At 38.6% G+C, this 23505-nt stretch overlaps 1 long non-coding RNA gene across 1 annotated transcript in view, besides 2 other annotated features; it reads left to right on the plus strand.

Moving 5' to 3' along the window:
- The window catches only part of LOC107985239 (uncharacterized), a 202893-nt gene that overhangs the window by 44745 nt on the left and 134643 nt on the right, over positions 1-23505 (plus strand). The window lies entirely within an intron of this gene.
- Positions 8929-9588: an enhancer, noted in NCBI's record as "OCT4-NANOG hESC enhancer chr1:185500818-185501477 (GRCh37/hg19 assembly coordinates)". NCBI's record gives its function as "activates a minimal SCP1, AML or CMV promoter by ChIP-STARR-seq in primed H9 embryonic stem cells {active_cell/tissue: H9 hESC(primed)}" and the evidence as "EXISTENCE:reporter gene assay evidence [ECO:0000049][PMID:30033119]".
- Positions 15581-16231: an enhancer, noted in NCBI's record as "OCT4-NANOG hESC enhancer chr1:185507470-185508120 (GRCh37/hg19 assembly coordinates)". NCBI's record gives its function as "activates a minimal SCP1, AML or CMV promoter by ChIP-STARR-seq in naive H9 embryonic stem cells {active_cell/tissue: H9 hESC(naive)}" and the evidence as "EXISTENCE:reporter gene assay evidence [ECO:0000049][PMID:30033119]".

The raw sequence follows: 23505 nt of genomic DNA on the forward strand, positions 1-23505 counted from the left end.
ATCTCAAACTCTATGGATTTGTCTCTTTTTCTCTTTAGTTCTGTGAATTTTTGCTTCATGCAGTTTAAAGATCTGTTATTAGGTGCAAATATATTTAAGATTGCCATATATTCTTAATAAATTGACCCCTTTATCATCATGGGATGTCCCTCTTTATCTCTGTTAATATTCCTTGTCTAGAAGTCTACTTTGTCTGATATTAATATAACCACTAAGGAAATAATTGACTTTAATATGCTTTCTGTTTATTTTTCTCATTTGCCAATATACTGTCTGTATTAGTTGGTTCTCACGCTGCTAATAAAAACATACCTGAGAGTGGGTAATTTATATAGGAAACAGGTTTAATTGATTCACAGTTCCATATGGCTGGGGAGGCCTCACAATCATGACTGAAGGCAAATGAAGAGCAAAGTCACATCTTACATGGCAGCAGGCAAGAGAATATGTGCAGGGGAATACCCATTTATAAAACCATCAGATCTTGTGAGACTTATCCACTACCACAAGAAGAGCATGGGAAATACCTGCTCCCATGATTTAATTACCTCCCACTGGGTCCCTGCCACAACACTTGGGAATTATGGGAGCTGCAATTGAAGATGAGATTTGGGTGGGAACACAGCCAAACCATATCATTCTGCCCCTGGCCCCTCCCAAATCTCATGTCCTCACATTCCAAAACCAATTATGCCTTCCCAACAGCCCCCCAAAGTCTTAACTCATTTCAGCATTAACTCAGAAGTCCACAGTCCAAAGTCTTCTCTGAGACAAGGCAAGTCTTTTCCACCTATTAGCCTGTAAAATAAAAAGCAAGTTAGTTACTTCCTAGATAAAACGGGGGTACAGGCAATGGGTAAATACATCCATTAAAATTGGAGAAATTGGCCAAAATGAAGGGACTGCAGGTGCCATGCAAGTCTGAAATCCAACAGGGCAGTCAAATCTTAAAGCTCCAAATGATCTCCTTTGACTCCATATCTCACATCTGGGTTGATGCAAGAGGTAGGTTCCCATAGTCCTGGGCAGCTCCACCTCTGTGACTTTGCAGGGTACAGCCTCTCTCCTGGCTACTTTCATGGGCTGGCATTGAATGTGTGCAGCTTTTCCAGACATAAGGTGTAAGCTGTTGGTGGATCCACCATTCTGGGGTCTGGAGGACAGTGGCCCTCTTTGCACAGCTCCACCAGGCAGTGCCCCAGTGGGGACTGTGTGTGGGGGCTCCAAACCCACATTTACCTTCTGTACTGCTCTGGCAGAGCTTCTCCCTGAGGACCCCCCTCTGCAGCAAATTTAAGCCTGGACATCCAGGCATTTCCATATACCCTCTGAAATCTAGGCAGAGGTCCCCAAACTTTAATTCTTGTCTTCTGTGCATTTGCAGACTTAACACCATGTGGAAGCTGCCAAGGCTTGGGGCTTGCATACTCTGAAGCAACAGCCCAAGCTGTACCTTGGCCCATTTTTGCCAAAGCTGGAGTGGCTGGGATGCAGGGCACCAAGTACCTAGGCTGCACAGAGCAGGGGAGACCTGGGCCTGGCCCATGAAACCATTTTTTCCTTCTAGGCCTCTGGGTCTGTGATGGGAGGGGCTGCCGTGAAGACCTCTGACATGCCCTGGAGACGTTTTCCCCATTGTCTTGGCAATTAACATTTGGCTCCCTGTTATTTATGCAGGTTTCTGCTGGTGGCTAGAATTTCTCCCCAGAAAATGGGTTTTTCTTTTCTACAGTGTCATCAGGCTGCAAATTTTCCAAACTTTTACGCTCTGCTTCCTCTTGAACCCTTTGCTGCTTAGAAATTTCTTCCTCCAGATACCCTAAATCATCTCTCTCAAGTTCAAAGTTCCACAGATCTCTAGTGCAGGGACAAAATACCACCAGTCTGTTTGCATAGCAAGAGTGACCTTTACTCTATTTCCCAAGAAGTTCCTCATCTCCATCTGAGACCACCTCAGCTTGGACTTCCATGGTCCATATCACATCAGCATTTTGGTCATAGCCATTCAATAAGTCTCTAGGAAGTTCCAAACTTTCCCACCCACATTTTCTTATCTTCTTCTGATCCCTCCAAACTGTTCCAACCTCTGCCTGTTACCCAGTTCCAAAGTCACTTTCACATTTTCGGGTATCTTTACAGCAGCACCCACTTCTGGTACCAATTTACTGTACTAGTCTGTTCTCATGCTGCTAATAAAGACATACCCAAGACTGGGTAATTTATAAAGGAAAAGGGTTTAATTGACTCACAGTTCCACATTGCTGGGGAGGCCTCACAGTCATGGCGGAAGGCAGATGAAGAGTAAAGTCATGTCTTACATGGCGGCAGGCAGGTGTGTGCAGGGGGACTCCCCTTTATAAAACCATCAGATCTTGTGAGACCTATTCACCATCATGAGAACAGCATGGGAAATACCACCCCTCCCCCCGCCCCTGTGATTCAATGACCTCCCAGCAGGGCCCTCCGATGACATGTAGGAAATATGGGAGGTATAACCGAAGATGAGATTTGGGTGAGGACACAGCCAAACCATGTCACTGTCCCTCCTGCTGACTTTTGTCAGGTAGTGTTAAATACATTGGTGAGGCACAGGTGGAGCGACGTACTGTTGGCCATTGCAGTTTTCTTAAAATCGGGCAGTGTTGAGACCAATGCAGGCTAGCAGCAAAATTAGTTTGTTGGTTTCAGGCTATATGAATAGGATGAGTTGGCTTTGTCTACCTTTGGAAATTTTTTTGACCTTGCTTCTGCCAGGCTAGTAGAGGTATCCTTTTGCCTGAGAAAGATTAAAACAGAAGTGTTTTTCAGGTGGTGTCAACTTGCTAAGAATTGTGAGTTTATTTTTCTTCAATTGTCTTTATTTTCAATATTTTTACATAGTAAAGTTCTATGGCATCTTGATTTCAAAAGTTGGAGATTCAGTGAACTGAAAGTTCCAGTGTGGGAGCCAGGAGAATGGCGTTTTCTGTTTGTTTGAAATTTGAAATGTCTGACTTCAGGCAAGTCTTTTAAAATGTATCCTAAAGAAAACAAAGATAATGATGTTTGCCCTAACTTACAACTCATGGAATCTTATAATTGCATGTGGCCTTACCGATTATCTGCTCCCACCTGGAAATTTTATGTATGAGGAGACTGTGGTTTTGAGAGGCCAAATAACTTGCCTAAAGACATTCAGTTTGTTTATGGCAGGGCTAGAATTTGAACCTGAAGTCTTGTTACCAGTCTAATGTGATTTTTATCCAAATATGGTGAATTTAGAGAGCATTTAGAAAGACTCCAAGACTCCAAAATAATGAGTCTATACCTATACATTGGCCAATGTAAGATATTAAATGATTTAAACATTTAAAAATTGCCTACGTGAATTTCAAAAAGTAGTGTTTATCTTTTATAGCTGAGTTTAAATTCAAGAAAATATGTCAAAAGAGCCTCATAAATATTTGTCAAGTATAAAATAATCTGTTTTAAAGAAGATATCATTCCCTTTATTACTGATGTAACAATGTCAATTTTATAGCTTTCAGAAATTGTAAATGTTTCATTGGATCCTCACAAACAACACTATAAAAATAATAGCTAGTATTTATTGTCTACTATGTGCCAGACATTTTTCTAAGTATTTTATGTCTATTAACCTTGTCCTTCAAACCACCTTAGTTCCTATTATCGTCCTCATAAATGAGGAAACCAAGGCCCAGAGAGTTAAAGTAACTTGCTTGAGGTCACACAGCCTTCCAGAAGCAGAACTGATATCATCCCTAGAGTGGATACCTTAGTCATAGCCACTTTGCTATAGTGCCTCTCAGGTGAGCAGGGCAAAGTTTGTATAGATTGTTCTTTATCTTTCTTTTCTTCCTGCTGGAAGGTAGAGGACTGAAGACAGTCATTTTGTGTCTGGGTGGGGTCTTCAGTGGGGCCTTCTGAAGATTTTCCTTTGATTCTATGTTTTACACACTTTCTTTGCTCTCCATTGCAACCCTGTCTAAGCCACCTTGTTTGAGGTTGTGCTCTACTATGTATGCCATTTGCATATTTCTCTCAAGTTCCCCTTTCTGTTTCTTCTGTGTGTGTCCAGAAACTGGGTAGTGCATGTGTGCATCTCACAGTCTTTGCCTGCTAAAGTACTTCTTGCAGAATAGGGATTTTTAGCCATTTTTGTACTGGGATACCCATCTGGTTGACATTCTAATGCTTGATATACTTTCTTGGAAGCAGAGGTAAGATGCATGTGGATTACAGGCAATTCTCAGCACCTTAGGCTTTATTGTCCCTCCTTTCTCTCCAACACAAGAAATACAAGTGAGTGTGAGTGAGGGACTTATGGGCACAGCTGTTCATCTATCCTTGTGCATAGTGAAAGTGAATCATCCTCACTACTTAGTGTTTTTAAAAAATAATCATTTACTTGTCTCAACCCTTACCATAGATTGTGTACCCTGGGTCTCAATAGTGTGCTTGGTTACAAACTGCTGCTTTGGAAAGATCTCTTAATTATGAAGTAAGATGGTTAGGTTTGGTGATTGCTAAGATTGCTTTTAGCTTTAACATTCTATGGTTTCCTCACATTGTGCCAGAAGGTCCCACATCATTGTGGTAGTGGACAACCAGGTTGCTTCTGAGAGACCTAGTGTTGTGGGTTGAATTGTGTCCCCCGACTCCAACAAAATATGTTCAAATCCTTACCACTGGTACCTGTGAATGTAATCTTACTTAGAAATAGTGTTTTTCAGATGTAATCAAGTTAAGATGTGGTCATACTGGATTATGGTAGACCTTAATTCAATGGCCAGTATCCTTATAAAAAGAGGGAAATTTGGACAGACACAAAGAGGGCACTATGTGACAATGGGGGCAGAGATTACAGTGATGCACCTGCAAGTCAAGGAACACCAAGAATTGCCAGCAACCACTAGAAGCTAGGAGACAGGCATAGAGCAGATTCTCTCTCAGAACTTCTAGGAGGAGCCTCTTGATCTGCTGACCTCTTGATTTTGGACTTCCAGCTTCCAGAACTTCAAGACAATAGATTTCTATTGTTTTAAGCTACCCAGTGTGTGATCATTTGTTATGGCAGCCCCAGGAAACTAATACACCTTGCAAACTTTGGGTTAGTTGATCCTGACCCATGTTTAAAGTTCTGTGTTCAGACACCCCTTTCATGTGCTCTGTAACAGGACGTGGCTCTCTAGCAGGCGTGTGCATGAAAATTCGAGCTCTGGAGCATCTTCTTCTGACTTCTCCCCATGGGAAGCCTCCAGTCTTTCTGGTCTTTCTGAGGCACTTGCTTTTCAGTTTTCTTCATAGTTGATTCCCATAGATTCTCGTGACCAGCTCCTACTGTGGTCCTTCTGTGGGAATTATTTCAAACCTAGACTGGAACTGAGGAGATATTTAGGAAACAATTCCTGACTCCCTTTAGCTGATGTAATTTTAATTTATAATTTTCATGTCAGAGTGATTACCATGAAATTATTTAAAAGAAAGACATTATCCAACAGTCTCATGACAGTGTCATTTTATGCTGATGGGGTAATTTGTCCCTTTAGAAACAATTATTTCTTGAATAATTACTTTGGGTACCAAGTGACAGGCTCAGACTATTTTGGGACTCTGTGGCCTTGCCTCATGACATGCATTTACCTTGAGGATAAGGCGTGTGGCAGGTATTGCCTGTGACTCATTGCTCTTCTGCAGTTTGCTGCACTGTTCCTGTCTTTAGCAGATAGCAGCATTTGACGATGATGGCTTGGAAGAATTGCTGCCAATATGATTCTTATGTAAGACTGGCATAGAGGAATGTCCTCGTTCCTTACTAAGCGTCTTTTTGCTCAAACCAGGTTTTTTTTTTTTTTTTTGGTTGACAGCCCAGGAAATTCACTAGATGTGGGGAAATATGAGTTAGCCAAGTATTACATTTGATCATTTTATGTAAGGCTTCCAACTTGAAGCTGCCTCACTTAAATTAATAAGGGTTAAAATAAAGTTATCTTTATTTATGATTCTGAAGATACAACTTTAACAAACTATATATTGATTTGTACTAAAAGGAGTAAAGAGACATGGATTATTTAAATCTATGTTAAAATATTTATGAAAACTTTCAAAATCTACAAAACCCAGTGCATTTTCAGGGTGACAACAAGTGCGCTAAAATAACATTCAATCTTCTTGATTCCACATTCCATCTTGTCCCCACCTTCTCCCAGACAGACCTACATTAAGAGTCTATTGTGTATCCCATCTCGCTTTTGGTGGCCTCTGTTCTAATGCCAAATTTTCCACAGATTCTCTGTTTCAAAACCCATAGCTAATCTCTGAGAGCCAGGTTTTCAATGTTTAAGAGCTGGAAATACTATTTTAGTAATATTGCATTTTGAATATCCAAAGTTCTGTGAAGACAAGGATGATATGCCCAATGCTTACTGTGCTGAACGAAGGTGCAAATGTTCCTCTTTACCAAAGCAGTCATTTGGCTGCATAGTGACATTTCGGTCAACAACAGACTGCATATAAGGTGGTGGTCCTATAAGATTATAGTAGAGCTGAAAAATTTTTCTCACCGAGTGACATCTTGATGATCCCAATACTCTGTAAACCTAGGCTAATGTACGTGTCTGTGTCTTAGTTTTTAACAAAAAAAGTTTTAAAAGTAACAAATAAAAATTAAAAAGTTCTAAATATGGAAAAAAAATGTATAGAGTGAGAATATAAAGAAAATATTTTTGTACCACTGACAATGGGTTTGTGTTTTAAACTAAGTGTTATTAAAACAGAGTCAAAAAGTTAAAAAATTTTAAATGTTTATAAAATAAAGTTATAGTAAGCTAAGTTTAATTTATTATTGAAGAAAGATTTTTTTTAATAAATTGAGTGTAGGCTAAGTATACCTTTTCATAAAGTCTACAGTAGTATACAGTAATGTCCTAGGCCTTCACATTCACTCGCTACTCACTCACTTACCCAGAGCAACTTCCTGCAAGCTCCATTCACAGTCAGTGCCCTATACAGGTGTGCCACTTTTAATCTTTTACACTGTATTTTATTATACCTTTTATATGTTTAGATATGTTTAGGTACACAAATACTTATCATTGTGTTACAGTTGCCTGCAGTAACTGTATGGTAACAGACCGTCTAGACTAGGTGTGTAGTGGGCTATATATACCCTTTGGGCTTGTGAAAATGCACTCTATGATGTTCACACAATGATGAAATGGCCTAACAATGCATTTCCCAGAACATATCCTTGTCGTTAAGTGGCACATGACTATAATTCTTATCTCCAGTTTATATGAAAAAATTAACATTCAGGTAGGTTAAATTAATTGCTCTCAAATATATAAAATAGCAGAAAAACAGGAAGATTGTTCTGTTCCAAAGGCCCCTGATTTCATATCAAGAGTTGATAGTTTGAGAACCTACTCTTAAAAGAAAAAAATTTTGGCCGAAATATTAGAATGTAATGCAATCCTACTAATTAATAAGTTTTATTTATTTTGGCAAATACACAATTTAATTACTTTACTAGCTGTTAGCTGCAAACTGCTTAGCTCCTTTGGAGTTTTTCAAATGTGCAGAAAACCTCAGGTGGAAGAGCCCAAAGCAAAACACACCGCTTTTTCCTGATAACGGCATTTTCCAGACGTCATTTTCCCAGCTGTCAGAGTGTGATAAAAGGCTTGGGTTTAAAAACTTGACCTAAGACTTACCTGGGTGTTGCCCAGCAGAAATATGGGTTTCATTAAATTAGCAACAGATCTGAAAGCCAGAATGAAAAAGCAAGCTAATTCCCAAAGTCAGTGTTTTGTCCCCATAACAACCTGCAGGTGTCTGAGGACCATAGAAATCAGCTTAATGTAATTTTTCCATTTTTCTCTGCTCAGGTTCTGAGATGGCAACTGCTGGTTTCATTTGTCTGGAGATTTCATCTTTCAGAGCTGTCAAGGATTTTAGTGGCTATAAGGAGAGAACTCTGATGATAAAGTTTATTGATTCATGACTGCATTCATATAAAACACTAAATGGAATTTTGAATGGCAAGAAACATGTTTTGTACATTCAATAAATGAGAATCTGTGTATCATGAAAATGGTAACACTTAGTATGATAATTTTCAGTTTATAAAGTGTTTTATTTAATTCTGACAATAATCCTGTAAGGTAGCTGAGTTGTTGAGTTATAGTAGCACTCAATGTATACCCTTCAACCCCTGCCACAAACACACAAATGCATGTTCAGTTTTCTTTCATATACAAAATATCCCATCTCCCCAAACCGTTACCCCATCTCATACTTTGTTCACTTCTAAAATTCCTGGAAAGGTGAAATGTTCCCATAACTGTCTTCAACTCATCACTACCACTCCATGAGATCTGGTCTAATCTTTGCCATTATAGAAAATCTCACTTAGTTACTAATAACTTCCTTGTTGCTAAATGTAGTGAAGTTTCCTCTATATGTATCATTCGAAGTTCTTGGTAGTTTTGCATTCTATTGATCAGCTCCTTCATTTTCCTATTTTTCTTTTAAGCGTTCCTTACTATGGCTTCCGTGACAATGCAGCTTTCTTCCCAGTACCGTGGCCATTCTCTCTCCAATATCTTTGTTAGCTCCTCCTTCCTTTCTTCTGGAAAATATATACAGGGCCTTGGGGGTGGGGTGAGGGGCTGGAGCAATAATTTTAGCTCTTTCTCTTCATCTTCCTCTCCCACGTTCTACAACAGCTATTCATTTTCTACCCTGTCCTCTTACCACTCAGTTGATGACTTTTTTCAGGTCTACAGGATCTGAATCTCATGGCTTTCTATCCACAAGAAATTGCACTCCAAATACATACCCTCTTATCTCCTCTCTTCCAGTTTATGAGGAAGAGGTGTGTCTTTTCTTGTTCAAGACCAAACCTTGTTCATGATCCTATCCCCTTCTGCCCTTTCTGGGAATAGAACCTTGTTCCATTGGGTATTTCCTCTCTATAAGATATTTTTAACCTAACCTTATTAGTTTGTTGTTTGTTTGGAGCCTCTGTACATACTCAGGTCTCTCCAATTCTTAAAAGTGATTGCCTTTACTCAGTGTTCTCTGTAAACACTATCCTATCTTTTTCTCTTTCAGCAAGGCCAAGCTTCGGCAAGGAAGAGTCTACAGATGCTCTATTTCCCCTCCTTTAACTCTTTCTTCGATTCAGGCTTTAACGCCAGCCTAGGGGCATCTAATTGCCTCACATCAACAAGGTTGCTTAATTTCTCAGCAGGAATTGATGCTGCCCTCTACACCCTTTTTTGTTTTAGAGACTTTGCACCTGTGGTTTCCATTAGCCACTGTCTCCTGGTTTCTGATTCTTTTTGCTTTGTTTCCATTTGGGCTCTCCTCCTTTCTCATTCACCAAATTGTTGTTCTTTTCCTGCTTCTTCACCCCCTCGTCTTCTGTCTTCCCCTCCTCCACCATTTTCTCTTTCCCCATTGATTCTTTCCATTCAGCTGCAAGTTTGAACCTCATTTGTATACCATGATATAAATGACAGATATTGTTCACATGCCAGACACTTCTGTAGGAGTATCGTTGGCCTTAACATCGTTGGCCTTAACTTCTTCTTTCTTGCTCATTCAGTAACATGTATTAGAAGGCAAGTGAGTGAGAATGGTTATTACAGGGGTCACCTTGAATCAGTTTTCATTTCTGAAAATAGTAAATAACTTGGAAACTTCAGTACTTTCGCCTTTATTAGAGACAGATTACTGGAGACACACCACACAATTGATTGGTGTACCTTAGTGTTTTATGACAACATGGTTGGAAAAGGCTGATATCTTAGGTCCAACGAAATTATTAAGTTGATTTGGATTTAATGGTGATTTTATAGTTATTTTTCCTGGAGAATTTTCAACCAAAAAATTTAATTCTTTTGATCCCCCTAGACTCATTCATTTATCTGTTTACTTTTTATCTTACCAATAGGTAAAATTCTTATTCTATAAATATTCTGGTTTGGAGGTTGCTGTTCTCAAATTTCTAGAATTAAGCAATGAGAAAAATCATTTGTCTGGGTCTTTATGGTTATATACAAGAGTCTTATATTACAAAAAATAGCTTTTTCATAATATAAGAATTATAATGAGAACAAAGATATTGTCACTCATGTATTAAAGAGACCCATCCAAGGATAAAGTCCCTGGGAAAGTAAGTTTCTGGAAGCTGGAGAGAATGAACTGGAGAGAATGAACTGAAAAGAATGCCACACATACCTTGAGATACTCTGTTAAGCTATGATATCTTGAAACATGGACAGGAAAAGATTAGAGATTTATGTGAATCAGGACAGCTTAAGTCTTGAAATATTTCCTATCTAGAAGACATCTTCTCACAGTGGTTTTTAGAGTAACTTTGAATTTCATGACCTCAGTGAGTATAAAATTTGAATGGAGAGAAAATACTGTTCTCTAGAGGTTGAAAACACACATATTCTTTCTTATTATTTTTATAATCATTTGAAACAAATACTTCAGTCATGATGAACTATTAAATCTGATTTTCATTTATTTTTAAGGCTCAGAAGGCCAAAGTTTAAACTAGAAGTTGATATTGAGCTGGCTCATATTTACAATTACTATCTATTTTCCCCTCTAGTGGTCCCTGTCTACTTCTATTTTTAGTTTACTTCAGCAAAACTGCTGCAACTCTGATAGCAAACATACCGCTTTATCCCAGCAACATGGATTAGAAGCTTTTTTAAAAGCAGGAACCATGGTGTATACTTCTATCCTTCAAGTGCTTTGCATACGATTGATGTGTAACAAATAATTTTGAGTTTTTGTCTCATCAATAAGTAAAACATTTATAGAAAATAAAGATGTTATTTTTTGTAAAGAAAAATAATTTATTTTCTTATTAACTAGAGACAATTTCTATCAACAGCCTAGTATAAACCAGAGATTGGCAAGCGTTTTCTTTCAACGGACAAAAATAATAAATATTTGAGGCTGTGTGGACACTGAGGTCTCTGTCGCAACCACTCAAGTCAGCTGTTGGGGCATGGAAGCAGCCACAGAAGACAGGAGATGATTAGAAACTGTGTGTGTGGCTGTGTGTCACCAATAAAGCTGTGTTTTCAAAATGGGCAGGTTAGAGTCTGCCTGTAAGCTGTAGTTTGCTGATTCCTGCAATACACTTTAACACCCACCCCCGACACACATATATGTGGTGGTTTTAAAGAATGATATCATTGTATTATATTGTAAAGGTAATTTAAAGCTTTGAAACAGGCTACAGAGATTCTAGATATTCCTTCCAATAGACTCTGGGGATTGTCTGTCCTAAACAACATGGATTTTCAATTGCCCCAAAGGGGACAAAAATTCGATCTGAGGGGCAGAAAAGAATCATAGTAATTATAATGGTTTGTAGCCCTCCAAAGTTCAACTCTATCCAACAAAATCCTTATATCTTAGTGTTTAATTTTGAGGGCACTAAGTAGGGGAGATTAGGTTAAGATATCCGAAAAAAATCTTCTTAGGAAGGCAATAATGAAGGAAACATTGAGAATCACTGCTATAGGGATGTGGACTTTGTCTTTCCTTGGGTTATTTTCCCATTCTGTAATTTATGAATTACTGACAAATTATTGAAAATGCAAGTACTTCTTGTCTCTAGACTTTCAAATGACTTCTGTCTGTTGGAAAGACAATCTCCCTCTTCATCCCCAGGAAAAAGCCAGTTTTGTGTTCATTTTAAATTTATTTCAACATTCATTTGCTCCATGTAAATTTCCAGTTCATTTATTTCTCCTTTGAATTGGTTGTAACATCTGCTTGTTTCCCTCATTTAATAACTAATAATGAGTTACATAGAAATTTTGACATATGTTTATTTTCTATCTGTATGAGCCTCATGGTTTTACCCACTTTTAAAATATAACAATTTCCACTGGTTTATAACAGTTCTTTTTTACTTGAAAATACATCAAAAATCTTCCCATGTCCTTATGGATTTTAAAGATTATAAATATTCCATTAAATGAATATACCACATTTTTAAAAATTTATCTTTTGTTGTTGGAAAACGATGAATCATTTTTTAATGAGCAAGAGTAAATCGCTCTCTTAACACACAAAATACGGGAAGTCATAAAATGTGCCAAAAGCCTCTTACTTAATTTTTTTTGGCATAGTGCTTGTTTGCTTTCAGTTCCACGTTGACTTTTCGAGAACATGGGCCAGTGGACATAAAGGCCAATGCTATTTTCATGGCTTTGTTTGTTGACAGAAGGTTACAGGTGTTGCTTCTGTGAATCTACAGATCATTTTGGGAAAGCACTAAGCCCTGGCCTCACCAGAGGTACACAGGAGGTTTAGGACATTGAGTACGCTTTGTTACTTTACTTGGCTCCAGGTTCCTGGTTGAGATTCTGGTTGGCTTGCAATTAATTGCAGGAACATGGAATGTCTACCGTTTGTCTAAGCCTTCCATTTTCCTTGACAGCTCCCCCTTTCTCTTTACCTGCTCAAGTGCACTGCTGATTACTTCCAGCCCTTAATATCAATGTTTCATATTCTTTAAGCCAAAATTTTAGATATGAATATTCTCACCTTTCATATGTCCTGATAATTCTGTGTAACTCTGTTGGTAAGCCTGCCTCTCTCTAATCCTTTCTCTCAGCATTTCCTGTTCTTTACGATTGCCAAGTGAGTGACTTTGGGTGGCAAGTGCCCATTCTTAGAATAATTTTTCAAAGTTTTTTTTTTTTTTAGGAAACCATATAAGTAAACATTTTATGCATGGAGAGGAAGGCAAAAGATACAATAAAATAAATGCTTCAAAGTGAATATTACTTATAAGACCAGAGTAATGAGATGTAAATGGCTTCACCCAATCTCCTGTAAGACAAGCCCGTTGTTACAAATCTGCAATGGTGGTGCTTCCAGTATATTATTCTTTCTCCTTCTGTTACCAAAAATAACAAATATAACACTTTCAAGATCAACCAGTACTTTATTAAATGATCCTAAATTAAATGCAGAAGCAAGAAAGCTGATTCAGATCTTCTGGTTTTCGAAAGAGCATTACAAATTTTAACTTTTGGTAAAATCTATTTAACATTTAGGGAAGTAATCCTTTGGTAAGTGTCTGCAATTCCTTTAGTACTCTCTCTGCCTACAACAGCATTTAAATTATATATATAAATTGTATAGAGAATGAAAAAAATTCATACCTAATTCAATTATACATAAGAATCAAAGAAAGCTAAATTAAAGTAAAAAATGAGTTAATTGATAAAAAATAATTTTAAAATGCCAATGTTTAATTTTGATGAGTCCAGTAAAATCAAACCTTTTTGTGTAAATTGGTAAAAATTCATTCTGAAAGATATTTAGGAACATAGATCAGGAACCATTAAAGTGTTTATACCCTTTCTTGTTAATCCACTTCTGGACACTTAGCCTAAAACAATATTCTAAATGTTGAAAAATTGTGTAAAGGTATTACTAGCAGCAGTGTTACTTGAAAACAGGAAAGAATTAGAAACAACCTAAATATCCAATTTATTATCCAGGTAATACATTGGTAACAACTAGGTAAAACAGTTTGGTCAGTCTGTGGAATCTGTGGAATATTATGCAACCATTCAAATAATGATTATAAAGATGATGTAACATCATCATATGCTTATCGAATAATAAATTTACATTTGAGTATATAATAAAATGAAATACTTATGATTTATATTATAAGATAAATATAGCATAAAGATGAAGAAAACACATAAAATCCAGATGTATTTTGGTGGTGGAATAGTTTTAAAAATTGCTTCTTTTTTTTCAAAGTTTTCTATTAGTCTCCGTGTATTAATTGTATAATGAGGGGAAAAAATCTCCAAGCTTTCCTAGTAGTTTTTGCTGCTACAAGACCTGTCACTTTCTTTTTCTTCCCCCTTCCTTTCTCCCTTCCTTTCCTCTTTTCTTTTTCTTTTTTAAGCTTATACTTTTACTTTCAGTAGAACTAAGTTTTCAGAAACTAGTTTTGTTTCTGGTATTTTAATCAACTCTATCACTTCAATCCTCAATAGTTCTCAGTGAGAGAAATATAACACATTTATTTGACATTTAAGTATAACGCCATAGCCTCTCCATTCATTGTGAACCTGTACAGTTAAAAATTTGAAGACATTATGGCTTTTAAGGTTAGTGATTAAGATTGCGGGTGCATGGCCAGCCTTGATTTCCAAGGGAAACACTTCCTTTCTCTGGGTGTGAACAATATGGGATGGAGAACAGAGATATAGAGAGCTTGCCACAGAGATGGGAATTATCTTTGACTCTGGCAAGGCTATTGGGACTCTCTTATGTATTTGGTAAGAATTTTGGAAGAGGAATGGTTCCTTGGCTCTGCTGGGGCCTCACCTTGAGACTCGGCAGCCCTCTGGCTTTCACATAGCTGGGTGAGGAGCTGAGCCAGCTCCAGTTGAACAGGAGCTAGGAGCTCACATCAGATGTGGGCAGGCATGAGCCCAAGTCCTGGGGAAGGGATAAGGGAGATGTGAGGTTGATGGAAGGTGGGCATACTGGAGAGGGTGGCATGCTAGGAGGGTATAGAGCAGAGCTGAGAACAAAGGCAAGGCCAGGGTAGAACCAAGATCCAGGGATGGAGCTTGCTCATGGAACTGAAGGTTGGACACAGACTTGAGCATAAAGCCTCATTAAAGAAAGCAAAGGCAAGAAACAGGAGCCAGGGAATGAAGTTGGGCTGAAGTTAATGGGAAGTCCGGTTTTGTAAACAGGAAAAAGGGAAGGGCAGTGCCCAGGTGGAATTGTGGGGGATGTTCTTTTCAACTCTAGCCACCTGTTATTACTGCTCACACTCTCCAGGTGCAGAGGAGTCCATATCCAGAGTACCCTAAAGGAATTCAGTAGCTTCTGACCAAATGTCAGATGGATTCCTGGATAAACATCCTTGTCAAGACAGCACTACTGCTCTAGTATTTGTAGCCTGGACCAAGGAGTCTCCTGACTGCCATGAGGCCCTTCTCCCAAGAATTCTGGCTTACTGAGATCACAAGTTCTCTGATGTAGCTGCCCAGATAAGCGGTACAAAGTTCAAGTGCTTCTAATGCTACCATTTATCATGTCTAACATGGATAGATTATCTAATCTTGACAGGTGGTTTTTAATTTGGGGGGGATATATGTACATATGTTGTGGGAAGTCAGGGACCCCAAAAGGAGGAACTGGCTGAAGCCACGACAGAAGAACGTGGATTGTGAAGATTTTATGGACACTTATTAGTTCCCCAAATTAATACTTTTGTAATTTCTTATGCCTGTCTTTACTGCAATCTCTAAACATAAATTGTAAAGATTTCATGGACACTTATCACTTCCCCAATCAATATCCTTGTGATTTCCTATGCCTGTCTTTGCTTTAATCTCTTAATCCTGTCAGTTGAGGAGGATGTATATCATTCCAGGACCCTGTAATAATTGCGTTAACTACAAAATTTTACAGCATGTGTAGTTGAGCAATATGAAATGTGGGCACCCTGAAAAAAGAACAGGATAACAGCAATTGTTCAGGGAATAAGAGAGATAACCTTAAATTCTGACCGCCAGTGAGCCGGGCGGAACAGAGCCATATTTCTCTTCTTTCAAAAGGAAATGGGAGAAATATCGCTGAATTCCTTTTCTCAGCATGGGAAGTCCCTGAGAAAGAGAATGCGCACCTAGGGGTAGGTCTCTGAACTGGCCCCCCTGGGGCGTACATATCTCTTATGGTCGAGATTGCAGAGGTGAAATAAACTCCAGTCTCCCATAGCGCTCCCAGGCTTATTAGGAAGAGGAAATTCCCGCCTAATAAACTTTGGTCAGACTGGTTGATCTCAAAACGCTGTCTCCTGATAAGATGTTTTCAATGACAATGGTGCCCAAAACTTCATTAGCAATTTTAATTTCGCCTCCATCCTGTGGTCCTGTGATCTCCGCCCTGCCTCCACTTGCCCTGTGATATTCTATTACCCTGTTAAGTACTTGATGTCTGTCACCCACACCTATTCGTATACTCCCTCCCCTTTTGAAACTCCCTAATAAAAACTTGCTGGTTTTTGTGGCTTGTGGGGCATCACGGATCCTACCAACGTGTGATGTCTCCCCCGGACGCCCAGCTTTAAAATTTCTCTCTTTTGTACTCTGTCCCTTTATTTCTCAAGCCAGCCGATGCTTAGGAAAATAGAAAAGAACCTATGTGATTATTGGGGCAGGTCCCCCGATATACATATATGTATACACATGTATATTCCTCATTTGTAAATTTTTATAGTGTATAATTTATATCTATATAAATACTATCTATCCACATACACACATGTACATATATATATTACCTATCATTTTCTTTTAAAATTTTTCCTTTAAAATGTTACAGCCTCTGAGTTAAAATCATTTTGATAATATTTGTATTTTATACATGTTTTTTCAGCTTGTGACTAAATTTACCACATACTACAACATGCCTTGTCTCATGGAAAGTTTTCAAGGATTCTGCCATTCTGTGGGTCTTCCGAATACTGGGCTGACTTGTCAGTGAGAGAACAAGTAAGGGCTCTAACAATGTGGGAAGCCAAACAGCTGTGTTTCTCCTGTAGCCCGTGGGCCTCGGAGAGTGTGTCCCCTACACATAACTCACTTCCTTGGGCTTTTGCTGTACGCCCTCTCTGCCACCAAACAGCTACTGAGTTTCTGAGTCATAGGCTAAAACTTTCTGCCATAGTTGCCTTTTGATGTGGTTTGGCTCTGTGTCCCCACCCAAATCTCATGTTGAATTGTAATCCCCAATGTTGGGGAAGGGCCTGATGGCAGGTGATTCTATCATGGGGGTAGATTTCCCCCTTGCTGTTCTTGTGATAGTGAGTTCTCATGGGATCTGATGGTTTGAAAGTGCGTGGCATTCCCCCCTTCACTCTCTGTCTCTCCTGCTTCACCATGTAAGACGTGCTTGCTATCCTTTTGCCTTCCACCATGACTGTACGTTTCCTGAGACCTCGCAGCCATGCTTCCTGTACAGCTTGTGGAACTGTGAGTCAATTAAACCTATTTTCTTCATAAATTACCCAGTCTCAGCTAGTTCTTTATAGTAGTGTGAGAACGGACTAATACACGTTTTAAGCCATTGGCTTATATTTCATTTATGGAGAATTCTGTAAATTAAGATGATGTAGGCATGAGTTATAGAATTGTTACCAAAAAATGGTCCTGATCCAGGCCCCAAGAGAGGGTTCTTGGATCTCATGCAAGCAAGAATTCAGGGTGAGTCTATAGAGTAAAGTGAAAGCAAGTTTATGAAGAAAGTGGAGGAATAAAAGAATGGCTACTCCATAGACAGGGTAGCCCTGAGGGCTGCTGGGCCCATTTTTATGGTTATTTCTTGATGATATGCTAAACAAGGAGTGGATTATTCATGCCTCCCCTTTTTAGGCCATATACTGTAACTTCCAGACTTTGCCATGGCATTTGTAAACTGTCATGGCGCTGGTGGGAGTGTAGCTGTGAGGAGGACCAGAGGTCACTCTCATCACCATCTTGATTTTGGTAGGTTTTAGCCAGCTTCTTTACTGCAACTGTTGTATTAGCAAGGTCTTCTGACCTGTATCTTGTGCCGACCTCCTATCTCATCCTGTGACTTAGAATGCCGAGCCATCTGGGAATGCGGCTGCCCAGTAAGTCTTAGTCTTAATTTACCGAGCTCCTATTCAAGATGGAGTTGCTCTGGTTCAAATGCCTCTGACATTTCCATATAGATTTGTTTTGAATCCTGGCTCCATGGTCTGCTAGCTGAGTGACATTTTGCCGATGACATTACCCCATTGTACCTCAGTTTCCTTGTTTGAAAAATAGGAATAACCATGCTGATCTATTAAAATTAAGATTATTTGAGGAATAAATAAAGTAACACTTGAAAAAATGCTTAGGACATAATAGTAACATAATAAATGATATTATCATTTTGATGGGGTTGGTTGCCCAATAAGAAGAAATGTGGGAACACTCATAGAAAGAATAACTGCTATTTAAAAGTGTGTTTCTGGTGCTGGATATATCAGATCAGCTTGACTCAGATACTTTTCTGGGGAGAATATTTGGCTCTTTTCAGAAATGTGAATGTATATTAACAGGCATGCCTATTTATGTAGCAATATAAAAATACTTTTGTAAACAAATGCTTAACAAACAAAAAGAATATGTGACTGAATATGAAAGAATCAAATGCGATCCATGCTATAGGAAAATATGGCATAAAGGTGAAGAAAGTACACGAAATAAAGATGAATTATGGCAGCAGAATAAGACTTTATTTGGCCGGACAATGGCAGCCCCTCTATGCCCTTGGTATATGAGGTTGCTGGTTGGTGCGTGTAGGGTGGGGAGAGTGAAAGCATATTTCCACACGGTGCTAAGAAGCTTATGGGAATAAAAGTGATTGAGATCCTAATTTCTTCCCTTTTGAGGTTGAATGTTGTTAGAACATCTCTGATGGTCTGAGGCAGTCCTAGCTGAAGTCATTAGTTAGGAAAGAAGATCAGATCTCTCCCATCCAGGAAGAAACTCACTGTGGGAAATGGGACAACTAGGCTGTGCCACATGTCACAAACAAGGGTCTATGTGGTTATAGCAGAAGGCTGGTTCAGGGTTGCTCACTCACCCTTTCAAAAATTCTACAATGTGGGACTTAGTATTGACCTCATTTTTCCAGCTATAAAACTTAGGCTTAGAGGGGTTAAGAAACTTGCCCAAAGTAAGGGTTAGGAGGCAGCTAAGAGCTAGAACTCCAGCCCCGTCTCTCCCCAGAATCCTTGTATGTCACTTCTATACTACACATGTTATCTGAGATCGTTCTCTGGTCTTTCTCTCCTCAACATTCAGTTGACAAAAATAAAGAAATGCATGGGGTGGGGAGAGGGGCAGGGATAGCATTAGGGGATATACCTAATGTAAATGACGAGTTAATGGGTGCAGCACACCAACATGGCAGATGCATTCATATGTAACAAACCTGCACGTTGTACACATGTACCCTAAAACTTAAAGTATAATAAAAAAAAGAAATGCAAATTGGGGCTAAGGATTAGGACACATACTTCAGTGGGAAGGGGTCTGGCAATTAGGGGAAGAGAATTTCAAGAGCTTTGAGGTTTCCCAGCCTCCTCCAGGAGGGTGATGGTTATATGATGTAATCCACATTCTTGCCTGACTTCTGGAAATACAAAACAGGCATTTTCAAGATGATTGCCTAAGATTTAAAAATCATTCTGTGGCCATGTATACATTCTTTTTTTTTTTTTTTCCTTCAATGCAAACTTGATCTTTCCAGGCCTTAATAGTCTCCTCTGTAAAATAAGAGCGTTGTGCTAAATCATTGTTAGAATTCTTTTCATGCTCTAAGGTTTGTGAGTTCAGGAATTTATAAGCTTTTTCTGGTATTTAACCTTTGGCCTTAGTTTCTTTAGTACTATGATCAAAACTAATCTCCCCAACTTAAATTTTCTGTGACAGGTAAGGAAGCCAGGACAAAGGACTTAATGAAGGTTTTGAAGCAGGAAGTATAGCAGCAAAAGGTTTTACAGCTATGTATGAAATGGAGTTGAAAGGAAAGAACTCAGGATCTCAGAATCCAGTGGGTATAGCCAAAAAGGTTGAAGCTCAGAAATGACTTTCAGAGGGATTACATAGAAAAATAGATAAGATTTGGTCGTGCCCTTCATGTAAGCAGGCTGTAATTAGATTGGCTGGTGTGAGTTAGTGGGAAGGATTAGCCATCACAGAGGGACATTTAATGGGATGGCTGTCTGGTTCCCCCATCTCGCTGTCCCAGCCCACCCTTGGGAACTGATGTAGCTGCCGTCACCATCCAATAACTCTACTTCCAATACTTCCAACTATGTAAAGCTTTCTTGGTCTTAGTTTTGTTGAACCAAAGAACTGTTACCAATTAAATGAGAAAAAAGTTTTTAAAAATTCACAAAAACATAGATGTGAGCAACGTTTATAGAGTAGAAGTTTCTGGTTCCCATTTGAGAGAGTAACCAATTCCTTACCTCTTCTTGCTTCTCATCTGCCCACTTCTTTCTTCTGCCTTTCTCTCCAGCTTCTCTTCCTTACCTTTTCATTCTTTCTTCCCACTCATCTGACACTTTACTGAGCACAGTGTGTAAAGGTCTGTGTTAGGTACTGTGGCCAACAGAAGATAAAGAAGGCACAGTCCCAGCATCTTATGTTGCTCTCGAGCTAGCAGCAGAGACAGACACAGACAAGTCAGTGTGGTAGCCCAGTTCACAAGACAGTCCACGCTCAGGTTTCTTTTCTTTACCTTCTCTGTGCAGCCCCATCCCCAAACCTGCTGATATTCTCTCCTCCTCCTACCTCTAATGCCCTCTCTAAGGATTAGATGCCTAAATGGCTAATTATTTTCCCCTAAACTATGGGGGCAAGTCTCTTAACGTTCACTGTGTCATATCAAACAAGTTCCATATATATGATCACTGACCAGCTGGGACTTCCTTCTCTTTGTATTAAGACAGATTCACAGAGGGTTTAGAAAATATGAGTTTTAGCGTTTGCCTTTTAAATCGAATAATGATGGTGCTTCCAGGACTTTGTCAAGTGTGAACTATGTGCTAGGTACATACATATTGTCTCTACTCCTTGTATTATCACTCTGCTCACCATCAATTCATAGATAATTCAGAGAGGCTAAGTAACTAGTCCAAAATAAAACACTTAGAGGTGGAATTTGAACACAAATCTAATCCTTTTTACTACATCTGTGCTTTAATGACAAAGGGCAGGTTCCATGTCGTCTTTCCACTCCTCGCCAAAGAAATTCTACTTCCATGTGTGTCTGTGTTTGTGTGTGTAATCTACTCATAAGATAAAGTATATAGCACATGATAAAACTTTTAAATTTTTATTTATTTTTTTGAAACAGAGGTTCACTCTGTTGTTCAGGCTGGAGTGCAGTGACACAATCTCGGCTCACTGCAACCTCCGCCTCCTGGGTTCCAGCTCTCCTGTTTCAGCCTCCCGAGTAGCTGGGATTATAGGCACCTGCCACCATGCCTGGCTAATTTTTGTATATTTAGTAGAGGTGGGGTTTCGCCATCTTGGCCAGGCTGGTCTTGAATTCCTGACCTTAGGTGATCTGCCTGCCCAGCCCTCCCAAAGTGCTGGGATTACAGGTGTGAGCCACCGCGCTCGGCCAACATATGATAAAACTTTCAGATACAGTTGGGTCTCTTCTAGATTAAACAATGAGTATCTGATCTGTTTTGCTATCAATTACAGAAACTTTACTATGATATTCAATTAAAAGTTTAACAACTAGAAAAATTTCCTAAGTGGCATAATTTTTAAAAGTTAAAACTTTTTCCTCTTAAAAGTCAACAAATAATTGTAAAAACACATGTAGTCTCTGTGCATTAATGTTCATTGTGCAAAACATATGTGGATATACAGGCATTAACAAGAGCCAAAGGAGGCAGTTGTAAGAGCTCTTGCTGGTTGGTATTATATATAAATTCAATGTGTATTCACTAGAATTATAGAAGCTCCTAGAAAAAAAATCTCACTTTAAAATTGTAAAGCTTGTGAATTTTATAGCCAATTTAGTTCAAAATATGTTAAAAAATACTAATGGAATATTAATTTGTTGTATCTTGGTATTTACTATATAATCCTTGGTGCATTAATATTTGTCATGAGAATAGTATGTCAATATTGTTTCTATTGTTACAACATAATAATCAATAGGGGAAAATTCAGTAGCAAACTGAGATGAATTTTAATAGGGTATAAGATTAATTTGTGCTTGTTCTTTCATTAAATAATTTGCATTGAATTGTTGAACCAATGCAGGCAATGTCCATATTATAACAGTACTCCCCCGGCATGAATACATGGTACACAGATATTGGTGGTGGTATTTAAACAGTGTTTTCTTTAACCTTCCTGGATGTCAACTCTTTCATCTGTCAGTACAGATTTTTTGGGGGGTCACAATAATGCCTGGCACATAGTTAACATTTACTGTGGGTTTACTATTACCATTTATTAACCCTATTTTAAGAACACATATGGTTACTAATGTTGTCTGTTGCAATTGTGAATGAAGCTAAACCCACTACTGGTGAGAAGTATTAAACCTGTTTAAGTGTGTAGCTTCAGCTTCTTACCTAATAAAGCTTCCACCCATGAGGGAAGTTTGGGGGTGACTTTGATAACATCTGAGGAATGGAATCTTCTGATAGGAAAGAGCTGAGAGCAACATTCAGATGTCAGTTTTCAGTTAAGCTCTTAATTTTCAACAGTTTTGCCAAACTGTGATTTCAGGGAATGTTCCTGGAGAAGAAGCATCAGTCATTCAACCAAATAAGATTTAAAAAAACGCTGCAGAACACAATCTCCTTTTAGAGATTCACAATACTTATTTACATAGCAAAGGCTTAGGTGACCCAGCAGCAGGTACACTGCTGTTAGTACAGCAGGTACACTGCTGAAAAAAGGCTTAGAGATGTTGTGTAAAAAATAAGCCTATTTTAATTTAATTTCACCTAGCTTTTAACAAACTTATTTGACAATGGAACCTTTAAAATATATATATATACCACCCCTAAATAGCTTGTATATTTAGAGAAATGCCAATTTAGAGAAAAATTCAAAACTCAGCTACTTTTCTCCTTTTTCAATTCAAGGGTTTAAAACAAATGGTGCTGATGAATGGCTTTCCAAATTTACTTTCCCATACATATTTAAGTATGACAAATGCTCATCCACCATGTGGTAGGTAGTGAATTCATAAAACCTAAGAAAGGAGATCAGAAGCTATGTAAATGCCAGATATATTTCTACTTAATGCTTTTTAAAAACATTTTAATACTCTATAGCTGTGTTTATATTCCCATGCACAATTATTATGAATTATGAAGACAACAAAGATGAATCTGGGAAAACTTATCACAGAGAAAATTCACATGTCAAGATAAATTTGCATCCCATAATCTATGCTTTGGTGTTACTAGGTCTTGGTCAAATATTGTTTAGTGCTTTGTGTTAACAGTGCTGAACATGCTCTAGAAACACTTGACTGTAGTGCACTTTACAATTTATGTTTTATAGCTAATTCTTTTCCCACAGTATATTACTTATAGGTTGCTGTGTAATAAATTACCCCCAAATGTAGCAGCTTAAACAACAAACATTTACTATCTCACTTTTTTGTGGGTCAGAAACTGGGTGCGGCCTAGCTGGGTCCTGTGGCTCAGGGTTTCCCATAAGCCTACACCCAAGGTGCTGACCAGGGCAGTGGTTCCCTCAAAGCCCAATCAGGGGAAGATCCTCTTCTAAGCTCACTCATGTGGTTGTTGGCAGGATTTAGTTCCTTGTGACTGTTGGGCTGAGGGCCTCAGTAGCTCAGTGGCTGTTGGCTGCAGGTCTCCCTTGGTTCATTGGCACATGGGCCTTTTCACAG

The sequence above is a fragment of the Homo sapiens genome, chromosome 1 (genome assembly GCF_000001405.40).
Source record: "Homo sapiens chromosome 1, GRCh38.p14 Primary Assembly".
NCBI classification, from domain to species: Eukaryota; Metazoa; Chordata; class Mammalia; order Primates; family Hominidae; genus Homo; species Homo sapiens.